Raw genomic sequence first — 25,273 nt, 5'->3', positions numbered from 1 at the left:
TATGTTTCTATTGTTTCATGTAGTTTTCTGAATATAACACTTATGGTTTTCAGTATTACATTTCAAATCTAAAATTATTGGTTTAGAATACATTTATTGGTTTGGTACCTGTGTAAATTTCAGTTGCCATATACGTATTTATTTCAAGGTAACTAAATACATGCTTCTATTAAATATTTTAAGATTTTCGCTTAGGTTGAAAGGAAAGGGAGAGAAACATCTCTAATTGGCTGGTACCATAGGCACTGTATGTACCTTAATTTATTTAATCTTCCCATAAACTTGGGAGGAATATTTTGTTCTGAGGATATCCACAGGGAAACTGACTCTTGCAAAGGCTGAGTAATGTGCTCAGTCACACGGCTAGCAAAGGAGCCACTCAGGATTTGAAGCCAGGTCGTTCCAACTTTGTTCTCTCTACTATCTGATGCTTCTTCTTTCAGTACTTTATGGTATTCGGCATCTCCACTGTGCACAGACTTTCTGGGAACCTCTGTTTAACAATTCTTTTGATGAGAAAAAGGAAGGCTGCCACCTCCACCTCTGTTCCAAAACAAAAGGAAGAAAAAAAGAACCCACTCTCTGCATCTTATCTGCCCATCACTCTTGCAATCCCGTATCTTTCTTTCTGTTTATGGTAGAACAGCTTGGAGGAGTTGATATCTCTGCTTCCTCACCTCCTGTTGCTCCTCCTGGGTCCCTGCAGCTTACTTTTGCTCCCACCACTCGCTTTTTAGGTCACTCCACTCCTCTTAGTTCTCAGAACTTAAAGGACAGCTTTCTGCTCTTACATATTTGACCTTGGAAAATTAACAAGTGTTAACCATTCATTCCTTCTTGAAACCCGCTCTTTCCTCATCCCTGTGAGTTATTGTCTCTCTGGTTCTCTTTTTGCCCAACACCTGTCTTGCCCACACTCATCCCCAGGCTTTTTCACTACCTCTTTTTGTTTCATCTTTTCCTTGCATGTCAGAAATTTCTTAGAGTTTTCTGCCCTATCACTTTCCCCACTTCTCTTTTTCTCATTTTATTCCATGTATGTCAGAAATTTCTTAGAGTTTTCTGCCCTATCACTTTCCCCACTTCTCTTTTTCTCATTTTATTCCATGTATTTTCTCTGTGTCAGAAATTTCTTTTCCTTGCATGTCAGAAATTTCTTAGAGTTTTCTGCCCTATCACTTTCCCCACTTCTCTTTTTCTCATTTTATTCCATGTATTTTCTCTATGACGTCCTGCCCTTGCCAGTCTCAACTCGCTAAATATATCTGCAGTTCCAGACTTCATTTGAAAGTACATCTCAGTGTGTGTCTCAAGACACCACATTCCCAACCCACTAGCCCCCTTCCCATTGCCTTGCTCAGTACCCATTGCCTTACTCAGCACCCTCCCCAAGCCCCCAAACAGTTGATTGCTGTGTATGAGGCAATAATATAATACTTTCAGATTCCTCCTTTATGACTTCATGTATTATGATGATTTATTTACACATCTTCACCTTCTGTGGTTGATTAGCTACAAAAAAGCTCATGTTCAATGTTTATAATAGTTTCTTCCACTTTAGCATAGTTTCTGGCCTAAAGTAGTTCAGTGAATGTTTATTGAATAAGTGACTAATACTGCAGATAGGTCTTTACAGAATCAGTTGAATCATCGTGGAACAAATCTGGAAGCACAATAATAAAGCTCTCCTTTCCAGCTCAGTTTTCTGTGATCCATGAAGATAACCTGAATTCCTGAGATGAAAATATGGGTCACCTTTGTTGAATATTTAAGTATGTCACTGAGGAACATTGCTCAGTTGTTGACAGAAGTTGGTCTCAAGATCTCATCCCAATGACAAAAGTTAAATAAGCTTAGCTTTGACCACAATGACTCCATACCAAAGCCCACCAGAACACAGTAGAACATTGTAACTCAGGTCCATTAGTTCAGTCCCAGTGCTCAAGCATACTGACGTAGAACTGTAAGGTTATGACAAATGTGATTCATTCCCCAAGTTCCCTTGTCGAGTTTTTTATTTTTTATTATTATTTTTTGATTTATCATGATTTTAGTAATAAGAAATGGAGTAAAGGCATTGCAGAAGCCTTCATTCCAGCTTTGCCATCCATGACACCCGCGTTTTCTCTTCTCAACCCTGAATTCATGCTTATAATTTATCCCCAGTAGATTTGACTCAGTCTATATGGCATCACTTTGGTGAGAAAGCTCTTAGACCTTAGGAGTAGCCTTAAAGATTTATATTTCTTTACAACCCCATTTGTCAAACAAAAGTCTGACTATTATAGAGACGTTTTTCTTAGTCCTTTTTTTTTTTTTTTTTTTGAGATGGAGTTTCACTCTTGTTGCCCAGGCTGGAGTGCAATGGCGTGATCTTGGCTCACTGCAACCTCCTCTTCCTGGGTTCAAGCAATTCTCCTGTCTCGGCCCCTTGAGTAGCTGGGATTATAGGTGCCTGCCATGACGCCCAGCTAATTTTTGTATTTTTGGTAGAGACAGGGTTTCACCATGTTGGTCAGGCTGATCTCAAACTCCTGATCTCAAGTGATCCACCCACCTCAGCCTCCCATAGTGCTAGGATTACAGGCGTGAGCCACAGCACCCGGCCTTCCTTAGTCTTTTACGCAATACAACTGAATTGGATAAGATATAATTGAGCGGGTATTTCTCGCTATAGTCAATCCGTCAATAAGCACAGATTAAGCTCTTAGAGTGAGCAAGGCATTACATTAACACAGTAGATAATCAAATGAAGAAAAAATGTGATTGTTGTTTTTTAGAACGTCTGCATGTTGACTCATTTAGAATTTGATCGCATGTTAGGTAATAAGCTAAGTTGGTCCTAACCACCTAAAGCTGTCTGCACATCATAACCCCCTTGATATCTTTAATGTAATAAAGATGCACTAGCACCACACCAGACACAGCTGAATCAGCGTTTTTAGAGGATTGGGCCTGAAAATACGTATTGTGTTTTTAAAAAACCCAGTTCTCAGCTGGTTCTAATGCAGCCAATGGAATCACTGGTTCAGATTTTATCTTGGTAAAATCCTGTTGAGATAGTTGGATACGGCAAAACCAAAAGAACCACGTTAATTTATGTCTACATTTTTAGTGACCCAATTTTTAGAAATTTAGGCAAATTTGTAGTTTATAATTTTGGAAAGTAAAACCTCAGAGAAAAGAAAAATGTAAGTGCATTTATTTTATCCTAAATGCAATGTCTGTTTTTTTCTTATGTGATTTATATACAATTTGCTTGTTATACTGGAGTCATTCATGATTCAGTTTTGCCAATGAGTGCTAATAGGAAGAGCATCTGGCATATTGGAATAGAATTAGTTATAGCAATCATGAAATTAAAATCAAATAACAAATATTATCAAGTGCCTACTGTGTACCAGGCATAGCGTACAAATCACAAAAAAATTTTTAAGCGGAAATGAGCCATTTAAAAAGTGACACCATGGAAAAGCAATGATTTATAAGTAGTAGCATAATATCGGAGTGATTATCATAATCCCTCTGATTCAATCAAGGGCAAATGGAATTAAGTCTGTAGTATTCAAGCTAATACCATTGATTTTGGTGTTATTAATTTTATTTCTTTACTATTCATCAAAATGAACTTCAAAGATCTTCTAGAGATGCATACATTTAGCACGGTGTTCATTAGTTTTCAGTACTCAGTGCGATGGTTAATTTTAATATGTCAACTGGACTGGACTAAGGGATACCCAGATAACTAGGAAACCATTATTTCTGGGTATATCTATGGGCGAGTTTTCTTAAGAAATTAGCATTTGAATCAGTAGACTAAGTAAAGATCACCCACACCAATGTGAATTGACATTTTTCAATCCTTTGAGGGCTGATATAGAACAAAAATGCAGAAGAAGGGCAATTCCCTCTCTGCTTGAACTGGGACATCAGCACTCCTAGCTCATGGACCTTTGGTCTCTTAATTGGGACTTATACCATTGCCCTTAGTGATCTCAGGCCTCCAAAGCTGGATGGGAACTACACCAGTAGCTTTCCTGGGTTTCCAGCTCACAGATGCAGATTCTCAGCTTCCATAATTGCATGAACCAATCTGTCATAATAAATCTCTTTCCATAGGACCTTTGGGATTCTGTTTCTCAGGAGAACCCTGGTTAATACACTTAGGAAAGTAAATTTACTGAGTTCCAAGGCAGCTAAGATAATATTGAGGTGGAATAGTAAAGAATTGAAGGTCAGAATGCTGATCCATGACAATTAACCCAGGAGCAAAATTTAAATTACTCCTTTGGCCAGAGATGAGGTATGGGGAGGGGTAGAGGAATAAGAGGAATAAATGAGTTGATTTTGGTATAAGTCATGCTGTGTGGGGGAAATAGAGGGAGTGTCTTTAAAGGAGGGTTAAAGAAAATGATATTTGGAATTCACGATGGCATTCTATACTGATGTTCTAGAATCTAGAAAGATATGGTACTCTTTGAAATAGATGGGGTAGGGGAAGAAATTGGAAAGGGGTGAGACTTTGATATTTTAAGTGTCTGAAAGCAGATTAACTTTCTCCCTCTTCAGTATCAATCAACAGACAATTTTGATATTTTAATTGAGAAAAATTTAGAAGTTTCATAACCCTTCCTATATTTTTAAAGAGTAGATAAATTGCATGGTTAGGTTTTCAACATAGCAGCCCAAACTCCAGAAAATTCTTATGTAATAACAAATATATCTAAAGGAAACTTACTCCTAGAAACATAATAAAATATTTATTTTGGGGTATTTTCTAATGGTTGCATATTTATTATAGCCCTCCTAAGTGACTTAGTAATAACACATTCTCCTTTATTGATTATATGTCTTTCAAAATAATTCAGGGGGATTGCATTAACAAAGAAGAATTCATTGTGTTATGACAAATGTTATTCATTCCCCAAGTTCTTTTTTTTTTTTTTTTGGCTTATCATATTAGTAATGAAAAGGTTTTGAAATCTTATCCGTTTACTCTGTATGCTTATTTATGTTGAAATATCTGAGTTTATTTTTGAAAACTCTTGAGGTTTTATGAGTCTCATTTTGTAAAGAGACTTCTTATTACTTCTTCAGTGGCAAGTAAACACTTGCCACTGAAATCTTTTTTTTTTTTCGGTTGAGACAGAGTTTCACTCTGTCACCCAGGCTGGAGTGCAATGGTGCGATCTCGGCTCGCTGCAACCTCCGCCTCCCGGGTTCAAGGGATTCTCACGTCCCAGCCTCCCAAGTAGCTGAGATTACAGGGTTATGTATGCCATCACACCTGGATATTTTTGTATTTTCAGTAGAGATGGGGTTTCACCATGTTGGTCAGACTGGTCTGGAACCCCTGACCTCAAGTGATCCGCTCTCCTTGGCCTCCAAAAGTGCTAGGATTACAGGCGTGAGCCACTGCACCCAGCCCTACCACTGAAATTTGGATTTTCAAGTAGACTTTCTTTTATTTTGGTTGTACTTTATAAAAAATGGGTCAGCTTTGAGAGAAGCTGACACAATCATTCATGAAAGGAAGCTTATTCAGACACGATCATTCATGAAAAGAAGCTGGAAACTTAGAATAAAATTTGGAAAAAAAATTGTGGTTTTTGGTGTAGTGGCTGGCATCTGTAATCCCAGCACTTTTGGATTCAGAGGCAGCAGGATTGCTTGAGGCCAAGAGTTCAAGACCAGACTGGGGGCAACACAGTGAGACCTTATCTCTAAAAAAAAAAAAAAAAAGAAGAAATCCAGATAATGTTTAGGGCAGTTAAACTACTCTGTATGATACTATAATGGTGGATACATGTTCTCATACATTGGTGCAAACCCATAGAATGTACAACACCAAGAGTGAACCCTAATGTATGCTGTGGACTCTGGGTGATAATGATGCATCAATATAGGTTCATCAGTCATAACAAATGTACACTCTGGTGGGGGATGTTTATGATAATGGGGGCTATGCATGTGTGGGGGTAGGAGTAAATGGAAAAATCTCTGTACTTCCTCTGCTCTATTTTGCTGTGAACCTATAACTGCTCTGAAAAATAAAGCCTATTAAAATGTGTGTATATATAAATATATACGTACTCATCCATCCATATAAACCTTATCCCCAAAAAACTATGTTAATTTACAAAAGTGCGTGTAATACAAAAGAATATAATAAATTACTTGTGCAATCTGGGCCAGAGGAATATCTGTGCAAGAATGTAAAACATAATCGTGTTCTAAAAGCATTGCTGAGGGGAAGATACGAATTTGGCTCTGCATTTTCTAAGTTTTCAGAGAAAAGAGGAAACAACATCCAGTTATAGTAATTATGGTGTCCACAAGATCAAAGCAGATTAGTTCTCTAGACAAAGCACAACATTTCTTAACCCTGAGACCCAAGGGAGGATTCTTGAGTTTTTGTGAAGACTCTGAGTTGGCCAGGTGGGGTGGCTCGTGTCTGTAATCCCAGCACTTTGGGAGGCCGAGGCAGCAGGGTCACTTGAGGACAGGCGTTTGAGACCACCCTCAGCAACAAAGTGAGATTCTGCTTCTACAAAATAAAAAAATTACCCAGGCATGGTAGCCCGTCCCCTTAGTCCCAGGCTTGGGAGCAGAGGCAGAAGGATTGTTTGAGCCCAGCAGGCTGCAGTAAGCTATGATGGTGCCACTGCACCCCAGGCTGAGCAACAAAGTGAGACCTTGTTTCAAAAAATAATAATAATAATTTTTAAAAAGACTGAGTGATCTAGGGATGGTGTAATCACCATTGTATCCCTGTATTAAGTAAAACAGCAGGTTCTGTTTGGCTGTTTATTACAATGTCCTTCAATTTAGGTTCAACAAAGCTGAAGTAAAATTTAGTAAATGTAGTTCAATGAGTTACCAAAATAAGATAATCCGAGTATTCAGCTTTCAAACAGAATAATATGATTCAAGAGACAAACCACACTGAATTGCCTTTCCCATATGTTGAATTGTTCTATTAAGGAATGAAATGAGAAAAATTGTTATAATAGAAAGCTACAAAGAAGAATAACATAAGAAATAGCCTCCTGTATGCTGTACAAAATTATAGCTTTGTTTCGTCCTTCTGTCACTGTAATAATAAATACCTCCCTGAAAGAAAGCAAAAGCCATTGAGAAGATAATGAATAAGGATGTTCTCCATAATATGGAGCTCACCACAGGCATCAAACTCCAAAGACCCAATATTGTACTTTTTTTCTATGTGTTATTTAACACTTGGTAATCAATTTGGCTGCTGATAACATAGCTTTTGAAGAGGTGACTGGTAGGCATATTCAGTTTTTGGTTAGCCTAGGAAAGGGGGAACAGGCAGGGGAGCTGAAGAGGCTGGGAGTTCTATAGCCCTCATTACAGGTGGTGGATGTGTTGCTGAGTTAAAAGACTGTCTACCGGGCGTGGTGGCTCATGCCTGTAATCCCAGTGCTTTGGTTGGCTGAGGCAGGTGGATCACCTGAGGTCAGGAGTTCAAGACCAGCCTGGCCAACATGGTGAAACCCCGTCTCCACTAAAAATACAAAAAATTAGCTGGGCATGGTGGTAGGCGCCTGTAATCCCAGCTACTCGGGAGGCTGAGGCAGGAGAATCACTTGAACCTGGGAGGTGGAGGTTGCAGTGAGCCAAGATCACACCATTTGCACTCCAGCCTGGGCAAAAAGGGTGAAACTCTGTCTCAAAAACAACGACAACAAAAAAAAGATGGTCATTAGTAACTCAGATTGTCTCTCTGTTCTTCCCTCTCCACTGCCTTTACTCACCACAAAAATACAGTGTAAATGGCTAACTAGTGACACACAAATAATTTCATTTCCCGTTTCTTCAACCGTAATGCAATGGTTATAGGACAAAAGTCATGCGACAGGACAGCTCTAAATGAGCAGCCACACCATACCACATACAAGAAAAAAACACATGAGATCAGTACATCACTTTGTGGTTTTTAAGACACTGAGGTAAACAGGGTGGGTGACACTCCTATTTCCAGATAAGAAAACTGAGGATCAGGAAGTTTAAGTAACTTCTCTGCTGTCACACAGCTTGCGAGTCAGAACAGGCTGGACAATGAACAGTGATGTCCTAATTCCAGGCCTGGTGATGTTCCCGCTACATCACGTATATCTAGCTGCCATTCTGCTGATAATTACAGGTGCCTACTCTATGCAGGCACTGTTCTAGACCTTGGAGACATAGCGCATGACCTAACTAGAGTTCCTACTCTCAGAGAGCTTGTCTTCTAGGGAGGAGTAACAGATAAGAAGAAAAATAAGTAAATGATGTTATGGACTGGTGCTAAGTACTATAAAGGACAAGTAAGAAGGACGGAAAGCTTATGGGTGCATGTGAAGAGGCAGGTGTGGAAGGTGCCGTTTCAAATAGAGATGGTCACATAAGGATTCTCTTATAAGGTGACATTTGAACAGAGATCTGAAGGAAGTGGAGAAGTGCCCTGGGGGAAAATGTTCTTGTTTTATACCAGATATGCCGGCCAAAGTATATAACTTGTCTTTTCTGATACCTGGCTTACATTGAAAGTACATGCTTTGTCCTATATAGTTTAGACTTTTTTTTGTCTCATGTAAAAATTATCATTGGTGATTATTATCAATTGGTAATTATTATGAACTGTTGCCAGCTTGGTGGGAGTAAAATCTGGTAGACTAAATCTAATTATGTCATCCTAAAATATAATAAGATATGGCAGAAAATATTGAGGCCACACACAGACAGGTGGGTGGGCTTGGCCTCAAAATTGGGCTGAATTAAATAGCAGATGGGGTTTCAGGATATTATAGAATAAAGATAGCCAGGGTTTTATGGCCAATATTGAATCCGCTGCTAGATTTAATTCAGTAACTCAATTTCATCAGATTTCTAAAAGTATACAATTTCCCTGCTTTCAAAAGGTTTATAATGTAGTTTCGCTGAAAACAAAAGAACAAAGCAAAGCACTCAAACATATAAATAAATTAAATAACACAAGGTGTATAGCCAAGGTTCATTGTCCAGCCTGTTCCAACTCACAAGCTGTGTGACAGCAGATAAATTACTTAATCTTCACTGGGAACTAGGAGACTCTTGGCCGCTCTGTTCAAGCACTCAGGGTCTGGTTAATATTTATTCCTTATTTCGCCCCAGTATTAAAAAATAATATCCCTTATTCTGTAGTCTTGAATTTCTCTGTTACACAGAGGTACCCAGTGATGACATGCACCTCCTTTGGTCTTAAAATATTTGACCCTCTCCTTCACCCTCCTAGTTCAGTACTTCTTAACCCTGGCAGTAAGTGAGGAGCCCTCACCTGGAGAGATTAAAACAGTAACAACAAAAATGATGCCTATACCTCTTCCCTGAGATTGAAATGTAACTCTAATCCCCGGCCCCCATTAGTTTTTTCCTGCTGCTATAAAAAATAACACAATCTTAATGGCTTAATAAAACATGAACTTATTATCCTAGAATTCTCGAGGCCAGAAGTCTGAAATGATTGTCCTGGGGCTAAACTCAGGGTATGGGCAGGACCACGTTCCTGCTGGAGGCTCCAGGGAGAATCTGTTTTCTTGCTTCTCCAGCTTTAGAGGGAGCCCACATTCCTGTGTGGTTTCTCCTAGCTTCAAAGCACCTCACTCCAACCCTTCCTTCTGTCACCAAATCTCTATTGATTGACTTTAACTCTCTCCTCCTTCTCAACACTTTTGGGATTACCTTGGGCTCACCTGACTAATCCAGGATAATCTCCCCACCTCAAAATGCTTAATTTAATCAATCTGCAAAGCCCCCTTTTCCGTGTGAGGTAAATGCACAGATTCTGGGGATTAGATGTAGACATATTTGGGAGAAATTATTCTGTACATCCCCTCACCCCCCCTCCCCCCAACACACAGGAAGTGTGATTTTGTGAAATTTCTCCTTGTGATTCCAGTGTTCAGCTATTTGAGAATCATTGCCTTCGTTGATATGCAGCATCTATACAATTTTTATGTTTTTCTTATCTATTGATGCGAGAGGACATAATACTAACAACAACATTAAGAATAATGATAATGGCAAGCACTTGACTACTGCTTCCTATGGGTAGGACATCTAGCATTTTTAATATATTAACTCATTTAATCTTCACAACAACTATGTGTATTAAGTACCACTCAAATGCCAAGAGGAATGAAATGTCACATGACATTTTTTGCCTGGCCCCAAACCAGTCCAGTTTAGGACATCACCAAGTAACTCTTTAGCAGCCTTCATCCTTCTCTCATAGCTCATTATTTAGAAATGAAACACAAAATTAATAGGAGAAACTAGTGTATTTTTTTAAAGGCACAACATGCAGTAATTCTAAACATCAGGTCATGAGAGCAGTTTTGTTCTATTTTTAATGCTTGTAACATGTAGTTTTGAGTTTTTTTTTTAACTTTCATTGGTAAATATAGCATAGCTACAGATAATTGAACAAAACACAGATGTAAAGCTTTATTTATCATCACCAAGGGAACATCACTGTAGCCATCAGCAAGTCAAGAAACAGAATGTTCCCAGTGGCCAGGAGGCCTCTTCCATGCCCCTTGTTTACCAATCAGTTTCCGTCAGAGGAAACAGTGAGGGCTGCTACAGAATGTGGGATTTCTTATGAGGGTTTCACCTTACACAATCGTGGTGGCTTGGTGAACAGTTTATATACAGCTGTTGCTTCTGGGTCTTATGCTGGCTCTGAAATGAGCAGGGCAGGCAATCTGGCCCAGAAGTTGGAAAAGCTGAAGAAGAAGGTCTTGGGTAGTTGTAAGAGCAGAGATTGCCTCATTCCCAAGTGATTCAGGAAATTGGGGACAACATCCACTAAATGCAACAGTACTTTGCACCTGCCTTTTGTGCACAAAAACACATGGCTGCTATTTCACTTCTGCCTTCTGTATTATACCGAGGTTCAGGTAGCCTATGCTAACTTAGAATTGCATGGAAGAAAATTCTGGATAAAATAGTTAGTTACAGCTAAGCTAAGTGGACACAGTACAAATCTACCATACCGCCTCCCAATAGCTACATTTTCCTTCTGCTGAAAAGATAACCACTATCCCAATTCTTATTTATTATTATATTTTTTGAGACAGAGTTTCAGTCTTGTCGCCCAGGCTGGAGTGCGGTGGTGCAATCTCGGCTCTCTGCAACCTCCGCCTCCCAGGTTCAGGCGATTCTCCTGCCTCAGCCTCCTGAGTAGCTGGGATTACAGGCACCTGACACCACGTCTGGCTAATTTTTGTGTTTTTAGTAGAGATGGGGTTTCACCACGTTGGCCAGGCTGGCCTCGAACTCCTGACCTCAGGTGATCCACCCACCTCAGCCTCCCAAAGTGCTGGGATTACAGGCATGAGCCACCATGCCCAGCCTTATCGCAATTCTTATGGAAACCACTTCCTTGTGGTTTCTTCCATCTCTTTCTTTCTTTCTTTCTTTTCTTTCTTTTCTTTTCTTTCTTTCTTTTTCTTTCTTTCTTTGTTTCTCTCTCTCTCTCCACCTCCCTCTCTCTCTCTTTCTTTCTCTCTCTCTCCCCCTCCCTCCCTCTCTCTTTCTCTCTCTCTCTTTCTCTTTCTTTCTTTCTTTTCTTTCTTATATAATGCGTAATTATTTATTCCTAAACACTTTAGTTTAGTTTTCTATTTTTTAAAAAATTTAAGTGGAATCCCTTAGTTTGGGATAATTTTTGTCTGGCTTCTGTTCAACACTGTATTTTTGAGATTCACCCATGTTTTATGCATAATTAATTTATTCATTTTTATTGTATTCTGTTATATGAATATACCAAGAGTTATTTAGCCATTCCACCACTGGTGGACATTGAGATTGTTTCCAGTTCTGAGCTGTTGTGAATAATGTGGCTAGAAACATTCTCTTACATGTCTCTTCGTATACATGTGCACATATTTCTGTTAGATATACACCAAGGAGTGGAACTGCTGAGTCACAGAATGTTTGTTTGTCAATGTTAGTAGATAATATCAAAGTGTTTCCCAAAATGACTCAACCAATTTACACGTCCACCAGAGGTCCACAAGAATTGCTGTTGTTGCACATCCTTGCTGACATTTGGTATTGTTGGTCCTTTTAATTTAAGTAATTCTGAGGGTTTTCTAGTGGTATAGTGTGTGTGTGTGTGTGTGTGTGTGTGTGTGTGTGTAATTTTTTTAACAGATTTTATTTTTTAGAACAATTTTAGTGCATAGCCTTTCCCAATATCAGCATCTCCTACCAGAGTGATATATTTGTTACAAGTGATGAACCTACACTGACACGTCTTTATTATCCAAAGTCCATAGTCTCTATGTTTAGGTTCACACTTGGTGTTGTACATTCTGAATTTGGACATGTATGAAATATATGTATTCACCATTGTAGTGTGATGTGGAGTAGTTTCACTGCCCTAAAAATCTGTGCTTCACCTATTCATCACTCCCTCACTCCCTAACTTCTGGCTACCATTGATCTTTTGACTGTTTCCATACCTTTTGCCTTTTCCAGAATGCCATATAGTTGGAATCATACAGTATGCAGCCTTTTCAGAGTGGCTTCTTTCACTTACTTATGTGCATTTACATTTCCTCCCATCTTTTTATGGCTTGATAGTTCATTTCTTTTTAGTGAAGAGTAATATTTCATTGTCTGGTTGTACTAGTTTATCTATTCACCTACTGAAGGACATTTTTGTTGCTTCCAAATTATGGCAGTTATGGATAAAGCTGCTATAAACATCAGCATGCAGGTTTTTGTGTGGACATAAGTTTTCAGCTCTTTTGGGTAAATAACAAGAAGTGTAATTGCTGTATCATATGGTAAGAGTATGTTTAGTTTTATTTAAAAAACTGCCAAGCTGTCTTCCAAAGTGGTTGTGCCATTTTGCATTCCCAGCAGCAATGAATGAGAGTTCTTGTTGCTTCACATCCCCACCAGCATTTGGTGGTATCCTCGTTCTGGATTTTGGTCCTTCTAATACATGTATAGTGGTTTCTCATTGTTTTAATTAGTATTTCATTGATGACATAGGATGTTGAGCATCTTTTCATATGCTTGTTTGCCAACTGTATATCTTCCTTGATGAGATGTCTGTTAAAGTCTTTGGCTCATTTTAAAATTGAGTTGTTTGTGTTCTTACTGTTGGGTTTTTTGTTTGTTTGTTTGCTTTGAAACAGAGTCACACTCTGTCATCCAGGCTGGAGTGCAGTGGTGCGATCTCAGCTCACTGCCACTGTAATTTTCACCTCCTACGTTCAAGTGATTCTCCTGCCTCAGCCTCCCAAGTAGCTGGGACTACAGGGACGCTCCACCATGCCCCGCTAATTTTTGTATTTTTAGTAGAGACGGGGTTTCACCATGTTGGCCAGGCTGGATTCGAATGCCTGACCTCAGGCAATCTGCCCAGCTTGGCCTCCCAAAGTGCTGAGATTACAGGTGTGAGCCACCACGCCTGGCCTACTGTCGAATTTTATTATTTATGTTTATTTATTTTGAGGCAGAGTCTTGCTCGGTTGCCCAGGCTGGAGTGTAGCGGTGCAATCTTGGCTCACTGTCACTGCAACCTCTGTCTTCCAGGTTCAAGCAGTTCTCCTGCCTCAGCCTCCCGAGTAGCTGGGACTACAGGCATGTGTCACCATGACTGATAATTTTTGTATTTTTAGTAGAGATGGGGTCACCATGTTGGCCAGGCTGGTCTGGAACTTCTGGCCTTAAGTGATCCACCCATCTTGGCCTCCTAAAGTGCTGGGATTACAGGCCTGAGCCACCATGCCTGGCACTGTAGAGTTTTAATAGTTCTTCTTATATATTAGATAACAGTTCTTTATCAGATGTGTCTTTTGCAAACATTTTCTCCCAGTCTTTGTCTTGTCTTTTCATTCTCTTGACAGTGTCTCTTACAGAGCAGATAATTTTAATCTTAATGAAGTGCAGTTTACAAAGCCAGGCATGGTGGCTTATGCCTATAATCTTAGCATTTTGGAAGGCTGAGGTGGACGGATTGCCTGAGCTCAGGAGTTTGAGACCAGCCTGGGCAACATGGCGAAACCCTGTCTCTACTAAAATGCAAACAAGTAGCAGGGTGTGGTGGCATGTGCCTGTAGTCCCAGCTACTTAGGAGGCTGAGGCACGAGAATTGCTTGAACCTAGGAAGTGGAGGTTGCAGTGAGCAGAGATTGTGCAATTGCACTCCAGCCAGGCGACACAGCAAGACTCTGTCTCCAAAAAAAAAAAAAAAAAAAAAGAGAGAGAGAGGCTCTATTTATGAGGTGAACTTTATCAATTCCTTATTTCATAGATTGTGTCTTTGGTGTTGTATCTAAAACATCATTACCAAATTGAAGGAAATTTAAAATTTCTCCTATGTTACCTTCTAGGAGTTTTACAGTTTTACATCATACATTTAGGCTTATAATCCATTTTGAGCTAATTTTTGGGAAGGATGTAAGGTTGCTTCTGAATTCATTTTTTGCACGTGGATGTCCAGTTGTTCCAGCAGCATGTGTGGAAGTGTATCTTTTTCTCCATTGTGTTATCTTTGCTCCTTTGTCAAAGATCAGTTGACTGTATTTATGTGGGTCTGGTGCTGGGCTCTCTATTCTGTCCCATTGATCTATTTCTTATGTCTGTTGCCAGTACCACACTGTCTTGATCACGATAGCTTTATACTAAGTCTTGATATCAGTCCCCCAACTTTATTCTTCTTCTTCAACATTGTGTTTGCTATTCTGTGTCTTTTGCTTCTCCATATTAGCTTTAGAATCAGTTCCTCAATATCCCCAAAGTAATTTTCTGGGGTTTTGGTTGGGATTGCATTGAATTTTTAGATCAAGTTGGGAAAAACTGACATCTTGATGATATTGAATCTTCTTACCCATGAACATGGAATATTTCTCCTTTATTTAGTTACTTGATTTCTTTCATCAGAGTTTTGGGGTTTTCCTCATATAGTTCTTCTACATATTTTGTTAGGTTTTTGCCTAAGTATTGTGTTTTTAATTTCAATTCCACGTGTTCATTGCTGGTAAATAGGGAAGCAATTGACTTTTGTGTATTAATCTTGCATTCAACAACCTTGGGTATAATTGATTATTAATCCCAGGAGGGTATTTTTTGTTTTTGGTTGAATCTTTCATCTAATATGGTTCTGATTAGCATTACCTTGATTACTATTAAGAAAGTTGAGCATTTTTTAATATATGTATTGACTATTTGCATAACCTCTTCTCTGAAGTGTTAGTTCATGGTTTTTTTTTTTTTTTTTTGCCTATCCTACTGGATTGCCTTGATTTTTCTTATTGATTTGTTGGAGTTCTTTATATATTTTAGATATAAGTCCTTTCTTAGTTACAGGTAATGAAAATCTCTGCCATTCTACAGCTTGCCTTTTTTCTTTCTTAATAGTCTCTCTTTGGTAAACAGGAATTTTAAACTGTAATATAATTCAATTTACCTATCTTTTCTTTTGTACTCAGTGCTTCAAGAGATCTTGTAGCTTCTGTTTTTGCCTTCTTGAAACCATCAGATCATTATGTGAAGAATTGTGGTCTCGCCTCTTTGTGTTTTTGTTTTGTTTTGTTTTGTGTTTGAGACAGGATTTCGCTCCCTCACTCAGGCTGGTGTGCAGCGGTGCGATCTCAGCTCACTGCAGCCTTGACACCCCAGGCCCAAGTGATCTTTCCACCTCAGCATCTCCAGTAGCTGGAACTACAGGCCTGTGCCACCACACCCAGCTAATTTGTGTATTTACTGTAGAGACAGAGTTTTGCTATGTTGCCTAGGCTGGTCTCAAACTTCTGCGCTCAAGTGATCCTTCCACCTCAGCCTCCCCAAGTTCTGGAATTACAGACTGTAATCTGGCCCCTTGGCTCTTTGGAGATGAGAGATCACACAGAAAGAGAAGTCCAGCCAGTAGTCAGCATCAAACACAAGGAGGCCGTCTTAGACCATTTAGACACTCACTGCAGTTGTGTGAGTGGCACCAGGTGAGACCAGAAGAAATGCCCCGGTGGAGCCAGCCCACATTGCTGACCCACAGAGTCATGAGCAAATACATGATTGCTGTTGCGAGCCACTCAATTTTTTTTCATTGTTTGTTATGCAGCAATAGATGACTAGTATAGAAAGAACTTACATCTTTACAATATTGAATCCTCAAAGCCATGAACATAAATATACCTTTGCATTTATACAGAGTTCCTCAAAGTTTTCTCTAAAATGTTATATTGATTTCTTCATTAAACTTTTTTCCCTCCTCTCTTTTAGTATGGAAAAAAATGAAAACACTCAGAGAATTTGAAAGAGTTCTTTAATGAATACCTGTATTCCTACCACCTAGATTCCATAATTAATGTGGTTTTAGATATGCTCTAACACATATCCATCTATCAGTCCATCCCTCTATCCATTAGTTCATCTTATTTTTTTGATTCATTTCAAAGTAAGTGGAAGACACTAGTAATCCTATTAGCATGCATATCAATGAGAATATTAGTTTACAATTCTTAATTTTTTGAAAAAATTCACATACAACGAAATGCAGAAATATCATCCAATAAATTTTGAAATGCACACCTAGCTGTATAACCCAAACTTTATTAAGATAACATTACCATTCACCCCAGAAAGTTCTTTCATACCCCTTCTAAATCTCTAAATCTCTCTGTGATATTTGCCCTCTCTTCCAGAGGCCACCATTGTTTTAATTTTTTAAACTGAGTGTTAGTCTTTCCTGTTGTAGAATTTTATAAACGTGGAATCATACAACATGTATTCTTTCTGTAAAGTTTTTTTGACTTAACATATTCTTGAGATTGGTCTATGTTAATGCATGCATTAGCATTTTATTCCCTTTAATTGCTGAGGATTCCATTGTCCTACCCTACCATAGTTTGTTTAGTCATTCTTCTGTTGTGGAAACTAGGCTTTTTCCTTTTTTGAGTTATTATTAATAACTTTATAAAACTTTTATAAAGATTCTTGTTTATTTTCTTAAAGTGTATTTTAATATTAATATGGCTATATTGATTTTCTTTAGGTTAGTTTTTGCATCATACATCTTTTTTCATTCTTTTATCTTTAAGAGTTTGGTGTCCTTGTATGTTAGATGTGTTTCTTGTAAACAACATATAGTTGGATTTTGTTTTTTTAATCCATTCTGACAACCTTTTAAACTTGCATACTTTAACCTATTAAAGGTTTCATAATTATTGATATATTTAAGGTTAAATCTACCATGTTACTATGCTTTTTCTATTTCTATGACCCATTTTTCTTCCTTTCTTTGCCGTCTTTTATATTTATCTGGAGTCAGGTCTGGACTACATAGAAATAATTTCTGACTTTGAGAAACTTAGGACATTTTCTTCCAGATAATATTTCTCTAAATGAAGAAGACAAACATCTAGAGATCTGACTGGTACATTTTTCTTTTTAATAATTCTTTTTGTACAACACATAGCATGACTTGAAAGTGCCTTTTACTGCACATGTTCTGACAGTCATTCTTGCTGTGGAGTAAGGTGACCAATGGGAGGAAGTGGAAAGCTAAACATTGATAACCATATTATTTTAGACCTACTAATGCTGTTGATTTCATTTGTTTTCTTATGTGTCAGTTTGCTGACAGTAAATAAGAAACACCGCCTAAACTTCTGGCTGCTTGCTGCTTGCTTGGTATTCAGAGTTAAGGTCACCAGAACTCCCTAAGCAATCTTTCCCATCAATAGGATGGCCTGACACCAGAGATGACTGATAGTGTCTGGTGGTTTCTCCCTCTCATCCTGAAATAAAGAGCAGGTATCATCCAAACGTTGCCATTTTATGTGCAGCAGCCATTTCTGATTTTTTCTCCTTACTTGGGTATAGCTGGGAAGAAGGAAGAAGCCAGATTTATTTGTGGGACTAAATTTTTTTTCAAACTTCTTCTTCGTGGTGCCTGTGAAATAAAGAGCATGTCAGTTAGTAACTGGCATTCTACTGACAAACACAATTTTCCAGAGTCAAGGTGTATTGCTAATTTACATAGAGATTTTAATCCTCCTAGAAAAAAAATGAATAGTTATTTACTTAACAATCCTATGTGACTTCAGGATAAAAGTATGTTAAATTAGGAGGTGGGGCTCCTGAAGGATGCGGTGGACAAGCAGAAGCTGAAGAGCTACTTAACTGGGCAGTTATCCATTCTAGGACTCAGCTGCACAGTGTGGAAAGGGTTGGGTCAAAACAAAACAAAACAAGACTTGGTTAATTAATAATTAATATTGTATATGTGCTGCTGAAGCGAGCACAATTAATAATTAATTAATATTGCAGATTAATAACATCAGAGTCGGTTGGCTCACAGGAAAATAAAATCAAGTGATTATCAGTCACACAAATGAGGAATAAAAGTTTGGTTTTTGTTGTGTTCTGCTTTGTTTTGAGACAGGGTCTTGCTCTGTCACCCAGGCTGGAGTGCAGTGGCACCATCACAGCCCACTGCAGCCTCAACCTCCTGGGCTCAAGCAATCCTCCCATCTTAGCCTCCCGAGTAACTGGGACCACAGGCATGTGTCACCACGTCCAGCTAATAAAAGTTTGTTTTGCATTGATTATTTTTGGAAGAAATAGGTATAAAAATTTAAACTAATTTGGTTTAAAAATTCATATCAGTTATGTTCAACCAATATTCACAATACATGTCAATTTGATTTTATGGTCTATTATGGGGATAAAGAAAGAAAGAAGAAAAAGGGAAGAGGAGATGTAGAGAGTTATAAGGAAAGGGAGAAGAGTGAGCTCCTAAGGTCAAGATTCAACCACTTACGGATCCTTTAAGCTTGGACATTAAGAGGTCACATGAGTACTCCTCTTTCTCCCACAGACAAGGTAGGAGGCTTAGCTCCCTGGATCAACCTGCTAAACCCCAGCAGAGGGAACTTTCCAAGCTGCACAGATCTTTCTTTTATTTTCTCTTTTTCTTTTTCCACTTGTTTTAAAGGCTAATTCACTATTTCATTCAGCAAATGTTTCTGCAGTGTCTCTTATGTTCCAGACATTGGCACTGCAGCAGAGAGTAAGTTAGGCAAAGTTTCTGCCTTCATGGATCTTACATTCTAGTGGGATAAAGGCAATAAAAATGACTTTTTAGGGGAAAAATTAAGCTATATGAAAAATAATTTTGGAAAAAATGGATTTTTATATGATACAATGTCATGTAGTGATCAGAGCTATGAAAAAAATTACATCAGTGAGGAGACTGAAAAAGATGGGAAGGGTGGGGCTCTCTAGTGTTCATTAATTGTTAATTCTCATAAGGTTATTCTGACCAGGAGAGACCTAGCAGCTCACCCATCACTGAATTATACCGCATTGCATTTAAGTGTCCAGGCTTTGAAGTTAAGTGACTGGATTTATCCCAGCTCTATGACTTGCTTTTTTGGAATCTCAGAGGAATTACTTATCCTCTGTGTTTCAGTTTTCTTAACTGTAACAGGAGGATGATCATTGCAACATATCTCAAAGTGTTGTTGCAAAGATGAAATGAAAGAGTACATAGCAAATGCACAATATCATACTGGGCAACATTGATTTGAAAATAAAGATTTGCTGTTGTCATTAGAAATATTACTGAGTTACAGTTTATATATTCTTTTCACCTAAAATAAAATTGTGATAATTTTTCTGTCATTAAATACTTTTTTTTTTTTTTGAGACAGAGTTTCATTCTGTCATCCAGGCTGAGATGCTTTGGCACGATCTTGGCTCACTGCAACGTCCACTTTCCAGGCTCAAGCGATCCTCCCACCTCTCCCAAGCAGCTGGGACTACAGGTGTGCACCACCACACCCGGCTAATTTTTGTATTTTTTTTTTTTTTTTTTTTTGGAGAGACAAAGTCTCACTGTGTTTCCCAGACTGGTCTCAAACTCCTGGGTTCAATCAGTTCAACTGCCTCAGCCTCCCAAAGTGCTGGGATTACAGGCATGAGCCACTGAGCCTGGCCTGTCATTAAATACTTTGGAAAAACTATGGAGTATGTTTTCACATATACCATCTTTCACTTAGACATTTTTGCATGATTGGACATGTTTCCACAATTTTGAAAATGGGTTACACTTTCCAAAGTTCACTTTCTTCCCTTCTCTTCCTACATTTAAACTGAAAAGGAAATACAAACTCATGTTCTGATTTATCTTTTGTTGTACCATGGTTAATATTTTATAATGTGTTGTTTAATTCTAAAGAGACGTATAAATGATTTAAAGAAGTTCATATTCAGAATTAGCATTTCTATATTTAAAAATAGTAAGTCAAAATAGACTAAGATATCTGTTATTGAACCTTTTACTCAAAGGACTTTCTTCCAACTGTACTGTAAGTTCCTTAATCTATAAATGGATTCCTGGTGCCCAGAACAGTGCAGGGGACATGATGAATATTTTAAGGTATTCCATAAATATTTGTTTCATAAAAGTGAAATTTCTCCCCCTGAATTTCTGAGGTCGTTTTATGCCCACCATTTTGGAAGTATTTTTATGAAACGAGGCATTTGGTGTCTAACTACTGATTTTATGTGATCCACTGTTTTTCCATTTAGGCTCTTTGGAGTTCTAAAATTGTAGACAGTTAACATAGTGGTGCTTTAATCTATCCCAGTTTCCAGATTTTGTCATCTTACTAAGTGCACAATTGGTCTTAATTGTATATTGGAAACCAATTTTGACCTCCTGGCCACACTTAACTATTTCTTTTAGTAAACCAGAAGAGAGTTTTATGTGAGGATTTTTCAATTTAAGCAAATTAAGGCACCTATTTTCTATAAACAAATGAAGACATCTATTCTTTTTGTCTTTCTGGTGTGATCGACGATCTATCAGAGTGATTAAGAGAAAATAAAGGATTTGTCAGAACATCAGGTTATTTAGACATCTTAAAAATGTCTTTGTGTTTGGATAAATAATTTATCATTCTTTATGATCTCTAATAAAATTAATTATAGTAGAGTCAAATTCTGGTTATTGGAGTGTAGATTAGTCTTTATGTAGATTAACTGTGAATAATTTTTCATTCCATATTGTCTTCCCCCTGGTACCTAAGACATATTTGGCCATCTTCTTTCTGTCACTTAGTATTTACTTAAAGAATGCAAAGTATATTTAACATCAGATGAGATAAAATTTAAATAAGAGTGCAAATAGACATAAAATGCATGAATTATAAAACCTAATGCACAGAGTCGTGCAGAAAAAAATACAAATACTTTATTACCTTTAGTTTTGGATTTTTTTTTTCATTTCCAGGTCTCTAGACAAGGTTTTGGATTATTTATACAACTGTGTTTCATCAGTTACATAAAACAATTAAAAGTAAATGATATTTTTTAACAGAAAACTCTTCTAATGCCAAAAATTCTTAAATAATTGTCAGAGTTGATGATGAACAGAAATTATTCATATTCTCATTAAGTGCACAAGCTAACATTATTATGGCAAAGTTTTCAATATTAATTAAAGCAGCTTTGAATATTGTTGTTGTTGTCAGTATTTGTTATGTATTACTGAGTTAGGCACAATCAATAAACGCCAACTCCTTTTTAATTTTAATCTGACTTCATGGAAAGGAGACTTATAAAAAATTACCATGTGCTATATCTTCCTCCTAAATGTTTGATCTATTTTAATGACTGGATAAATGGCCACAGGTTAAGTTAGGCCCCTGAGAGCTTCTAGAACTAGTAGGAGAGTGATAGGTTATATAGTGATAGCTGTGTAGGCTATCATGGTTTCATTGAATGAGCTTGGAGTCAGAGTAGGTATCAGCTTATCACTTCATTTGTATGTGATCTTTGGTAAGCCACTTGACCTTACTTTAGACTCCATTTTTTCCCCAGCTCTAAGAGAGTCTAATATTTTCTTTGTTCTTATTGTGAAAATCAAATGAATCATTTATAAAATCACTGCAAACTCTAAAGCATTGCATGTTAGTTATTTTTATTAATACTGTAGAAAAATTCTTGCAGCTAAGACAGAAACTGACCTCATGGCTTTACTCTGTAGGTACAACCAAATTAAGACACAAGGATGGTTATACAGCCCTCCTCTATGTCGTGTCAAATCTCCTAGTTTCTAAAACAGCTCAGTGAATTTCAGTCATAAAGGTCTAGATAAGCTTCATTAGCTCAGGCTTATTGATCTTATTTGATTTTTCTCTTTCTCTGTCCAGCAAATTCATGATTTTCATCTCACTGAGCTAAAACACACACATCTGGAATATTCATAAAAAATATGAACTGAGGCCGGGCACAGTGGCTTATGCCTGTAATCCTAACACTTTGGGAGGCCGAGGTGGGTGGATCACCTGAGGTCAGGAGTTCGAGACCAGCCTGGCCAACAAGGCGAAACCCCATCTCTACTAAAAAAATACAAAATTAGCTGGACACAGTGGCGCATGCCTGTAATCCCAGCTACTTAGGAGGCTGAGGCAGAAGAATCATTTGAACCTGGTAGGCGGAGGTTGCAGTGAGCTGAGATCGTGCCATTGCACTCCAGCCTGGGCAACAAGAGGGAAACTCCGCCTCAAGAAAAAAAAAAAAAAGTATGAACTGAAATGATTTTAGGTTCAGAATGTTTCTGAAAGCAGAGACATATTTTTAAAAAAACAAACAGAAATAGGATACACTGAAATTGGAGTTAACGGTGGAATTAGTACTAACTTACTTTTTCACGTTGAACATGACCTCCCTTCTTCTTTCCTGTAATGCCATCTGAAGAGTCCTTTTGGGCTTCTACGCCAATCAGTGGAAGAAATCTTAGACTAGTGGGGCTTGATATCTGGAAGCCATAAATTAGTCAGTGAGACACACTCAAAGTGATTACTTCTGTAATATGAATTCAGGAGTTGGGATGAGGAGTGAGAAGGCCCAGCTGCTTCAAAATACACACCCCCCTTCTTCCCAGTTGCTCAGCATTAAATCTTTATTTTATTTTATTTTTTATTTTTAAAATAGAGACAGGGCCCCATTATGTTGCCCAGGCTGGTCTCAAATTTCTGGGCTCAAGCAGTCCCCTTGCCTCTGCCTCCCAAAATCCCAGGGTTACAGGTGTGAGACACTGCATTCCGTCTACCTCTTAGAAATTCACTACTAAATCTTGATAGTTCACCCTTTAGCATCATCTGTTAGCTTAAGTATTTGATACCTGTTACAACATGTTCTTAGGAAAGATAACATCTAAGATATAAGTTAATTTGAAATATTTGGTCTCTGGCTTATTATTTCTTGGGTTAATTAATTAGTTGTCTAACAAAGGTTACCTGGGGTGGAGACTTGAAGGATGAGTAGGGATTTTGAGGGAAACAAGAAATGAATGAATTCTGGGCAGGGGGGCAGCACGGGCACAGTTTCAGAGGTATTAGAGAGACCAGTGATGCTTAGGGCACGGAAAGTAATTTCATGTGGTTGGAATATAGGCAGAGTATGAGGAAAAGGTGGTGAAAAAAGAGGGTGGATCCTGGAGGTTTTATAAGCCAAGCAAGGGCATTTGGATTTTACCCTGTAGTTGACAAGCCAACAGAGTAACGTTCAAAATAACCACCACGTGGTATGGCAGAGACAAGGGACCCGGTCATTGACACACACAGTCCAAGACTTTTCTGGGACTGCACATGATACGTTTTTGGAAGCAACGGTCCAACTGACTGTATGATTTTCTCCAACCTTGCTTGGTAGCCCAGGGTCAGGAATGAGATGGCAGATTCTCTACTGTTCTGTGACCCCTCTACTCCTAGAAACTCCAACTCACACTGTATATAGGCAGAGAGCCGAAAACAATCCCTGCCTCTCTGTTTTCAGTCACGAAACCTTCCAAGGGATATCTTCGAATCTGCAAAACAAAGGGATGAATGTTTAATGAAAGGGGCACATCCTATCACTGGTAAAATACCTGGGTTCAAATCCTGACTCTGTCACTTATTAGATGTGTGATCTTAAGGGACTTCCCTGTTACCTAGTTATGAGAATCAAATAAATAATATGTATAGCAAGGTGCTATTCAATTGTAAGATTTAGTACCACTGTGTCATCATTCATGGTCACAATACATCAAAAAAGAAATTAACAGAAGAGGTGAATAGATAAATATTACATAATTGAAAATGAAAAGGAATGGACAAAACAAGACTGCTGGTGAAAATCAGAGTCCTAAGGGAAAGGCATTTTAATTTAACTTTAGCATTCAACCTTTGTTGTTTTACCAACCAACTGAGGTAAAAAGAGAATAAAGCGGCCGGGCACGGTGGCTCATGCCTGTAATCCCAGCACTTTCAGAGGCCGAGGCGGGCAGATCACGAGGTCAAAAGATTGAGACCATCCTGGCCAACATGGTGAAACCCCGTCTCTACTAAAAATATAAAAATTAGCTGGGCGTGGTGGCAGGTGCCTGTAGTCCCAGCTACTTGGGAGGCTGAGGCAGAAGAATCACTTGAACCTAGGAGGCGGAGGTTGCAATGAGCCGAGATCACAGCACTGCACTCCAGCCTGGATGACAGAGCAAGACTCTGTCTCAAAAAAAAAAAAAAAAAAAAAACAGTAAAGCTTAAAATATGTGGGGCATTCAATTATTTCATTTCAAGGGCTCTAAAACTCATTCTAAAGATTTCTCCAAATTTACTTAGTGTTTCAGTTAAGTTACTTAAAAAATGATTTCTTATCTCTAAATTGAAAGAGAATGTTAAAAGTGAATTCCAATCTTTATTTCTAGGTTGTACTATTTTAGTCCTATTCAACAAAATTGAGTATCTGTTACAGGTTATGCATGTATCTTTGCTCATAAAGAGCTTATGATTTAGTGATAGGGATGGGAAGTAGAGGTAAATATACAAATAATTCTTTTTTTCTTTTTTTTTTTTTGAGACAGAGTTTTGCTCTTGTTGCCCAGGCTGGAGTGCAATGGCGTGATCTCAGCTCACTGCAACCTCTGCCTCCTGAGTTCAAGGGATTCTCCTGCCTCAGCCTCCCAAGTAGCTGGGATTACAGGCGCCTGCCACCATGCCCAGCTAATTTTTGTATTTTTAATAGAGACAGGTTTCACCATGATGGCCAGGCTGGTCTCGAACTCCTGACTTCAGGTGATCCACCCGCCTCAGCCTCCCAAAGTGTTGAGATTATAGGCGTGAGCCACCACACCCAGCTGAATAATTCTATTTTAATGTAGAACACGATAATATAACATGTTATGAGACATGAAGCAGGGAGACATGGAGCCTTTGGCGAAAGT

General features: G+C 38.3%; 1 protein-coding gene and 1 long non-coding RNA gene across 5 annotated transcripts in view, besides 1 other annotated feature; both read right to left on the bottom strand.

Annotated features, from left to right (window-relative positions):
• Nucleotides 1–455: 455 nt before the first annotated feature.
• On the bottom strand, nucleotides 456–1,198 carry LOC105373231 (uncharacterized). Its single transcript, XR_949325.3, has 3 exons — nucleotides 941–1,198; nucleotides 678–800; nucleotides 456–543 (listed from the first exon to the last, which is right to left on the bottom strand). It is a non-coding gene; the product is annotated as an uncharacterized LOC105373231 (long non-coding RNA).
• Nucleotides 11,812–12,167: a transcriptional cis regulatory region, noted in NCBI's record as "candidate enhancer chr1.12743 targeted for multiplex CRISPR interference". NCBI's record gives its function as "positively regulates EXO1 gene expression in K562 cells {active_cell/tissue: K562}" and the evidence as "EXISTENCE:mutant phenotype evidence [ECO:0000015][PMID:30612741]".
• The window catches only part of WDR64 (WD repeat domain 64), a 150,497-nt gene continuing 141,534 nt past the window's right edge, over nucleotides 16,311–25,273 (bottom strand). For all 4 annotated transcript variants that reach the window (NM_001367482.1, XM_017000315.2, XM_011544086.4 and 1 more), the window contains 3 exons: nucleotides 23,801–23,881; nucleotides 22,718–22,831; nucleotides 16,311–17,956 (listed from right to left, as the gene is read on the bottom strand). In NM_001367482.1, coding sequence (NP_001354411.1) covers nucleotides 17,873–17,956; nucleotides 22,718–22,831; nucleotides 23,801–23,881 — 279 coding nt within the window. In that variant the 3' untranslated portion in view covers nucleotides 16,311–17,872. The remainder of the gene's footprint in view (nucleotides 17,957–22,717; nucleotides 22,832–23,800; nucleotides 23,882–25,273) is intronic.

Source organism: Homo sapiens, chromosome 1, assembly GCF_000001405.40.
Source record: "Homo sapiens chromosome 1, GRCh38.p14 Primary Assembly".
In the NCBI taxonomy this organism is placed as follows: domain Eukaryota; kingdom Metazoa; phylum Chordata; class Mammalia; order Primates; family Hominidae; genus Homo; species Homo sapiens.
Note: the sequence above shows the minus strand (reverse complement) of the source record. Positions and strands in the feature narration are given on the sequence as shown.